General features: G+C 42.3%; 1 pseudogene, besides 1 other annotated feature; it reads left to right on the forward strand.

Annotated features, from left to right (window-relative positions):
- Positions 1 to 984: 984 nt before the first annotated feature.
- Positions 985 to 3,330, forward strand: RALBP1P1 (RALBP1 pseudogene 1; annotated as a pseudogene).
- Positions 7,335 to 7,394: an enhancer, noted in NCBI's record as "active region_20874". NCBI's record gives its function as "activates an Ori minimal core promoter by ATAC-STARR-seq in GM12878 lymphoblastoid cells {active_cell/tissue: GM12878}" and the evidence as "EXISTENCE:reporter gene assay evidence [ECO:0000049][PMID:35858748]".

An 8,782-nucleotide genomic window follows, 5' to 3' on the forward strand; every position in this document is an offset into this window, starting at 1 on the left:
TATATATGAGTTTGTTAAGTATTAACTCACACAATCACAAGGTCTCACAATAGGCCTTCTACAGGCTGAGGAGCAAGGAGAGCCAGTTCAAGTTCCAAAACTGAAGAACTTGGAGTCTGATGTTCGAGGGCAGGAAGCATCCAGCATGGGAGAAAGATGTAGGGTGGGAGGCTAGGCCAGTCTTTCTTTTCACATTTTTCTGCCTGCTTATATATTTTTTTTTTCTTTCTTTCTTTTTTTTTGAGACACAGAGTCTCGCTCTGTTGCCCAAGCTGGACTGTGGACTGCAGTGGTGTGATGTCGGCTCACTGCAACCTCTGCCTCCCGGGTTCAAGCAATTCTCCTGCCTCAGCCTCCCAAGTAGCTGGGACTACAGGAGTGTACTGCCATGCCCAGCTAATTTTTGTATTTTTAGTAAACACGGGCTTTCACTATGTTGGCCAGGATGGTCTTGATCTCCTGACCTCGTGGGTGCCTGCCTCTGCCTCCCAAAGTGCTGGGATTACAGGTGTGAGCCACCGTGCCCAGCCTCTGCCTGCTTATATTCTAGCCTCGCTGGCAGCTGATTAGATTGTGCCCACACAGATTAAAGGTGGGTCTGCCTTTCCCAGCCCACTGACTCAAATGTTAAGCTCCTTAGGCAACACCCTCACAGACACACCCAGGATCAATACTTTGTATCCTTCAGTGGGATCAAGTTGACACTCAGTATTCACCATCACAGTATCAAAGGGATTTTTTGGTGTGGTCAGTCACTGAGGTATGGAGTCCCTACATGCACCTACATGACTGAATAGCTAGAGTCAATCATGTAGGTGCTGCACTCCATACCCACCTGACTCACCCTAGGTATTCAGTCTCCAATTTTCTCCCCACTTCCAGAGGTCAAACTGATAAACAGTGGGCCCCAGGGTCAAAGGAGGGAAAAAAAAAAAAAAAGCCCGTTCCATCCCAATCATTGTAAACAGGCGGAGGCTGGGCGGGGTGGGAATGGGGTGCTGGAGGCCGGCCTGGGGCACAGCGCAGGAGGCAGCTACAGTGGCTGCAGCAGCAGCAGCCTGAGTGCCAGGAGGCGGCAGCCGTGGCAGCGGGGCAGTCGGTTGCATGGTGGCAGGCACAGGTGTAATGGAGAGGTAACAGAGAAGACCTCCTCCCTTCCTAGTCAGGGCATTAGCAAGACTGAATGCTTCCTGCCCCCACCAGCAGCGCCAGTGAACACCGCAGGATGGAGCATGGCAGCGGGCTTACCCAGACCCCCAGCTCTGAAGAGATCAGTCCTACTAAGTTTCCTGGACTGTACCGCACTGGCCAGCCCTCACGTCCCCATGGCATCCTCCATAAGCCTCCTGATATAGTGCCTGATGATGAGAAAGACCATGGGAAGAAAAAAGGAAAATTTAAGAAAAAGGAAAAGAGGACTGACGGCTATGCAGCCTTTCAGGAATATAGCTCTGGAGATGAGGCAGAAAGTCCTTCCAAAATGAAGAGGCTCAAGGGAATCCATGTTTTCAAGAAGCCCAGCTTTTCTAAAAAGAAAGAGAAGGATTTTAAAATAAAACAGAAACCCAAAGAAGAAAAGCATAAAGAAGAAAAGCACAAAGAAGAAAAACATAAAGAGAAGAAGTCAAAAGACCTGACAGAAGCTGATGTTGTTAAACAGTGGAAGGAAAAGAAGAAAAAGAAAAACCAATTCAGGAGCCAGAGGTGCCTCAGATTGATGTTCCAAATCTCAAACCCATTTTTGGAATTCCTTTGGCTGATGCAGTAGAGAGGACCATGATGTATGATGGCATTCGGCTGCCGGCCATTTTCTGTGAATGTATAGATCACTTAGAGAAGTATGGCATGATGCGAAGGCATCTACAGAGTATCAGGAATTGAATCAAAGGTGGATGAGCTAAAAGCAGCCTATGACCGGAAGGAGTCTACCAACTTGGAAGAATATGAGCTTAACACTGTAGCCAGTTTGCTGAAGCAGTATTTGTGAGACCTTCCAGAGAATTTGGTTACCAAAGAGCTTATGCCGAGATTTGAAGAAGCTTGTGGGAGGACCACGGAGACTGAGAAAGTGCAGGAATTCCAGCGTTTACTCAAAGAACTGCCAGAATGTAACTATCTTCTGATTTCTTGGCTCATTGTGCACATGGACCATGTCATTGCAAATGAACTGGAAACAAAAATGAATAAACAGAACATTTCTATAGTGCTCAACCCAACTGTGCAGATCAGCAATTGAGTCCTGTATGTGTTTTTCACACATGCGCAAGAACTCTTTGGAAATGTTGTACTAAAGCAAGCGACGAAACCTCTGCGATGGTCTAACATGGCCACGATGCCCACGCTGCCAGAGACCCAGGCAGGTATCAAGGAGGAGATCAGGAGACAGGGTTTTCTTTTGAATTGTTTACATCGATATCTGCAGTGTGGGATAAAGGATTTATCTAAAGAAGAAAGATTATGGAAAGTCCAAAGAATTTTGACAGCCCTCAAAAGAAAACTGAGAGACGCTTAAAGACAGGAGTGTGAAACCAAGATTACACAAAAGATAGCCAGTCTTTTAAAAGAGGATGTTTCCAAAGAAGAGATGAATGAAAATGAAGAAGTTATAAATATTCTCCTTGCTTGGGAGAATGAGATCCTGACTGAATAGGAGGAGCTCCTGACCATGGAGCAGTTTCTATGCCGGCAGACTTCCTCAGAAAAAGAAGAGATGGGATGCCTCAGAGCCGAGATTGCTGAAATTCAGAGTCACCAGCAGCACGGCCGAAGTGAGACTGAGGAGTACTCCTCCGAGAGCGAGAGTGAGGATGAGGAGGAGCTGCAGATTATTCTGGAATATTTACAGAGACAGAACGAAGAGCTGGAAATAAAGAGCAATCATTTGAATCAAGCAGTTCAAGAGGAGCGCGAGGTCATCATCGAGCTGCGCGTACAGTTCCGGCTGCTCCAGATGGAGGGAACCAAGGCTGAGCAGCAGGTGCAGGAGGACCAGGAGCCTGAGTGGCGCGGTGGTGCCGTCCAGTCGCCCAGAGACTGTGTCCTCAGGCCAAAAGAAGCTAAAGAGCAGCCAAAGGCAGGCAAAGAGCCGGTGAAGCCATCACCCAGCAGGGACAGGAAGGAGACGTCCATCTGAGCAGCCCGCGCGGCCGTCTGGAGTCCGCGAGACTGAAAGGACCTGTGCATCTTACTGTAACCAGGGGGCCAGGCCGGCTTTCTTGCTGTACATTCTGTAAAGGTGTCTTCTCTTCTCAGACTCTTCCTCTGTCACCCGTCTGACTCCTTTGCGTCAGGCTCAGGTTCCATTAAGAGAACGAAGCAGTGGATGCATTGTGGGCTTTAGGGACAGATGAGTTTTCCAGATAGTGTCACCTTATTTAAAGATTAATTTTCTTTGTTAACTTAAAATAACTATTTTAACCCTCGAGTGGCTTCTTTTTAAACCATAAATCGTCTTGCTTTGCTTTTTTATCACAGCAGAATCAGGATCTCTTTCTCATTCAAGGGGGGAACCACACCAGGTCAGCGCTGCACCTGCTGTGGCCGCTGTGAGCTGCACCCTCTGGGATCTCTGGTACCTTCACACTTGCTTGTGCCTTCCACACCTTCTTGGTGCAGATCCCTGTGGGGGAGCTGCCTCATGTTCTCTGGCCAGAGTGGCGCCTGGTGTGTGTTCCCTGGCCCACCCTCCTAACTCTCTCCTTCTGCAGTTCTAAACCACAGTTGATAAGCCCTAGTCACCAGGATGGCCTAGTCTGGCCACAGACAGAGGCTGCCTGTGGAGCCTGTCCACCCACCCCGGGCAGTGCAGGCCGGCAGGGAGGAGGCCGCCTCTTCCCACCAGTTCCTCACCGCGGGGACCAGCAAAGGCCTTCTCACTGGGTTGGCAGAGGTAGTCACCTTGGCCTGGTGCATCCACAGAGGATGTTGCTCAAACTAGAAATCTTTTAAACAACTGGCCTTCCTTAAAAACAGAATGACTCCGATTGCTTGCTTGGGCTAGAATGTACACGTGTCCTTGCCTGAATAAGCCATATATATGCTTTTAAACAAAAGTATGAAATTACCCATATTGTCTCAGTGAATCTGCTGGTGGACTCCCAATTGACAAGACTGAGCAATAAAAAAAATTTTCTTTCGTTTGAGTGATAGCTGTGACTCACCCCACCCCACTTTCTTGTTTCTGGTCCATCTGATGAGATGGATGCTTTGAGGCTTCTGAGAAGCCAGACCCTGGAGGCAACATGCTGCAGTCACACCCTGTTGAGTGAAGAGCACTGCAAGACAGGCCAGGCTCATGGCTTGGAAGACAAACCCCACACGCACTTAAGAGGACGAAAACAAACCCCATAGGAAGGCCCTCTCCTCCTCCTCTTAGGTAGTATTTATTTTCAGCACCTGTTTGATGTAGTTTTTAAACCTCTACCTATTGTACTGTTGTGACTCACTGGCCATTGTTTGATTTTTTTACGAAAAAAATCTTTGTTATAGAAATCAGCATACCATTTTTTTTTAAATCTGGAGAGAAGATATTCTGGTGACTGAAAGTATGGTCAGGTGTCAGATATAAATGTGCAAATGCCTTCTTGCTGCCCTGTCAGTCTCAGTACATTCACTTTATAGCTGCTGGCAATATTGAAGGTTCCTTTTTTGTTTGTATAAACTCTAATTTCTATCAAGGTGTCATGGATTTTTAAAATTAGTATTTCATTACAAATGTCTCAGCATTGGTTAACTAATTTTTGGCAGGACCATTATTGATCAAGCAAATAAATTCAACAGCCACTTGGGAAAAAGAAAAAGAAAAAAAAAAACAGATATTCATCACAAATCTCATTGTTAGCATAAACTCTCTGGCGTGGTTCAAGGTCTCCTGTATATAAAGACACTCTTATCAGACAAGATAGTCCAAAGCCTCAGAGTTTATCTTCCAGGAACCAGTTGAGGGACAGTGTTTTCTTTAAAATGTGAAGGGTTGGAGTACCACAAGCCTGCTGACTTAACCCCTTTAATGCCTCCATTGTGTCATGATATTTAACTGTCCAACCATATTTTATGATCCTTGGGTATCAGTGTAGAGCATGGCTGACACTGATTTTTTATTTTTATTTTTAGTTATTATGCAATATATATTTGAGTTAATTTTTATTTTTAGTTATTTTTAGTTATGCAATATATGAGTTATTTGCATTATTATGTGTCTTCTATTCATCATACGTCATATACTAAATACATTGTTCAACTTTTGTTATAGTTTTTCTCTGCAGAGTAACATAAAGAATATCAATTCTTGGCCAAATTCTCATCTGTGTTACAGTGACATATTTTCATAGATATTTCATCTAAGATTGTGCAGCTAGAGCTATAGAGTGACATTTTTGAAGAGAAAGTGGGGATATGAAATATGTACAATGCCCATTTGCACTGTGAAACTAGAAAAAATAAATTTGAAACCTCAGCTGTTTCTGAGGCCTGATGAGTCCCCCAACTATTTTGAATAAATTAACTTATTAGGTTGAATGTTGCATCTGTTTTGTGTCAAGTGGAAATGTGTAAAACAAAAAACTCACTCCCATTTTAAGCAGCCAATTAATATTTTTAAAGTAAGAAGAAACCCAGAATGAGCAGTTTTGTAGATATAAATATACAATACACCTTGACTATCAAACCAGTATCAAAGCTGAAGAGCGTCTGGAGTGAAGAGCAGACTAGTGTCATGATACAAGCATGGGACTCAGTGTCAGGACTCCTGCTATGGCAGGGACGATGTTGTGTGTTCACATCTGTAGGAAGAAGACCACATTTTCCCTGCTGTCCTGATAGTTAAGAATTTTTTTTTTTTTGAGATGGAGTCTCACTCTGTCGTCCAGGCTGGAGTGCAATGGTGCAGTCTCGGCTCACAGCAACCTCCATCTCCCAGGTTCAAGCAATTCTCATGCCTCAGCCTCCCAAAGTAGCTGGGATTACAGGTGTGTGCCACCATGCCCACTAATTTTTGTAGAGACAGGGTTTCACCATGTTGGCCAGGCTGATCTTGAACTCCTGACCTCAGGTGATCCACCCACCTCAGCCTCCCAAAGTGCTGGGATTACAGGTGTGAGCCACTGTGCCCACCCAAGATCATTTGGTTAATTCTTTCCAGTAGAAGCTAATGCATCACTTCCATCTGAGGCAGTTTAAAGCAGGTGGAGAATAAATACCCATGTTCCATAGGGTAGGACTGCCTGACCCCTACTAGACTTCATAAAGAAACAAACAAACCTTTGTTGTATTAAAGCCACCGAGATGTCAGGCTGTTTGTTACTGCAGCCTGGCTTATCCTAGCCTGGCTGTTGTACCTGGGTCATACCTCCAACTCTCCTGTTAGCGGTATAACCAAAGGCACGATACTTTGGCTCTTTAGCTTTTAGTTTACTGAAATTAAAAATGCAGTTTAGGCTAGTTCTCTGTACATTTCCTCTTAACTATAAACGCTCATGCAGTTGGTTAAAAGCAGGAGCCCTGTAGGTTTTTTTCCAGGATATGTCGCTTATTGTCTGTGATGTTAACCTCAATTTTCCTTATCTATAAAGTAAGGATATTAATACCCGATACAGAGCATCATTTTTAAAATTACACACAAATTACATTTTCCTGGCATATTAAAAGAGTTCTAAAAGCGAAAAATAATTATATCCATGATAATAAGTATGCTGTTAAAAAAAGTTCACAGATGAACCATAAATTTTGTTTTCTAAACATCCTTGACTCAACAATGGCATTGCTAATTGAAGTAAGTGCCTATTTACATCTCTCATTCTTAAACTTTTTCCTAACAAAGAAAAGGTAAAAAAGTTGGCCCTTACATTATGGTCCTGCAGTCTTGTTTGTGACAACAAAACATAATAAAACATAGTTCACCATAGTTCATGAAACTCTCAGAGCATGAAGCAAAAAGCAAAGAGTGCTCTGCGAAGGTGTTCCATAGTGTCAGCACTGACTTTGATGATAAGGAAAGAAAGAAAAAAAAAAAGTGTTATATTTCCCCAGAGTGCTACTCCCAACTGTGAGACAAAGTCATTTTGAATTTCCTTGAATCTGTATCTAAAAGTGCCTGTTTTCTATCTGAAGAGGATGCTTATTGTATCTTTGAGGCAAACAGATAAATATTTACATAAAAATTGTGTATTACAACTACTTTCAAAAACATTTGAATGATGAATAGACAGTGTGCAAGGTGATCTGTGGTCTACTGGGCATTGTTGCCAGCCCCTCTCCACACTGCCTCTACATCACAGTAAAAAGTCAGAAAAGTCAGAACTGTGTTTCCCAGAATCCTGAACCATCTGAGTAAAATTCTGATGAAGAGAAGCACTACGGCTTATTTGGAAGGTGAAAGGGAAGAAGCCAGTAGTCTCTAGTGGCAGCATGAGCAGATGCAGGAAGCTAGCAGAGGCCTCTGGACAAACTTCTGAGAATCATTCACTATGAGACCCCAGTGGACATACTTATTCATATCTATTTTTCAAACTGAAACTTGACGAATATAGGTGGTATTAGTAATATAGGGAAGTACCTAAGATTTTCCTAGTACTATTTACAACAGTAGATTAGGAATAAAAAAATTAAAACCTATTAAAAGATCAGCAAATTTTTTAATCGTTCTCTTAAAATGTATTTCAAATTGTACTCAAGAACTTTTATTACAATTTAATTCTCTTTCAATGATATATGACATTCTTTATCTTTCTTTCTCTTTAAGCCTAGTGTTATTTTTGTACTATTATAAAATCTCATAAAATGAAACTGGAAATAATGAATACCCACCAACAGGAAATTTAAATTATCTTTTACAATTGTATTTGACCTGTCTTTACAGATTCTTAAAGGTCCTTTAGTAGAGATGGGATATCATAGAGACTAATTTTTCGAGTATTTTCCCAAGGTCCCTTAGATCTTCGAATTAAATCAAGAAACATGTATTGAGCACCTATATTATCTGTGTACTCTAGAAACTTAAAATGCAGTTGGCAAGACAAATACAATCAAAGAAATGTAGGAAACAATAACATAGATTTAACTAATACTTTAAGGCAACAGTAGACGAAGTGTTGCAAAGTAATGGATGATTCATTGCTCACATTATTTACCAAAAGACTCAGAGAAGCTGTATAATCCTCCCATGAACACTTCCCCAGCCTTAATATCATCAGCTCTAAATATCTGATGGCCTATTTTTAAAAATTCTGTTCAGTATTTTGGCACAGGATACCAAAGCCCATCATGCTGGAAGATGCAAAGGCTTATAGCATAATTGTTAGTTAATGACATAATCAATTTTTTCTTGCCCAGCTTTCCTCCCTTTCCGCACCTTTTTCATTAAGGTGAACTGCAGGATCTCCAGTTCTTATTTAGTTGTTAATTACAGGCAAAGAAAGGACAGGAAGGAAACCTCAGTTATAAACATAGAAGGAAATTAATTTGATTACATTAGTTTGAGTGTCTTATAGTTCATGAGAAACCATGACTGAGGAGCCATTCTAAAAATTATCTTCAGCTGGTGTGAGATGTTACTAGGAAAGGTCTCCAGGCTTGACAATGAGCTATATATCAATGACAAATTAAGTCAAGATTGTTCAAGACCCAGAAACCACCTACCTGTTAATATCCTCTTTTGTGGTTAATTCCTCTTTTACCTTTCATGCTTCTATTTTGGACTTTGGTGGTGAGCCTTGACTTTATGGACAAAACTTCACCCATTAGTGGACTGCGGACACCACTCTCATTACATCATAGTCTGAGAGAA

Source organism: Homo sapiens, chromosome 3 (assembly GCF_000001405.40).
Source record: "Homo sapiens chromosome 3, GRCh38.p14 Primary Assembly".
Classification (NCBI taxonomy): domain Eukaryota; kingdom Metazoa; phylum Chordata; class Mammalia; order Primates; family Hominidae; genus Homo; species Homo sapiens.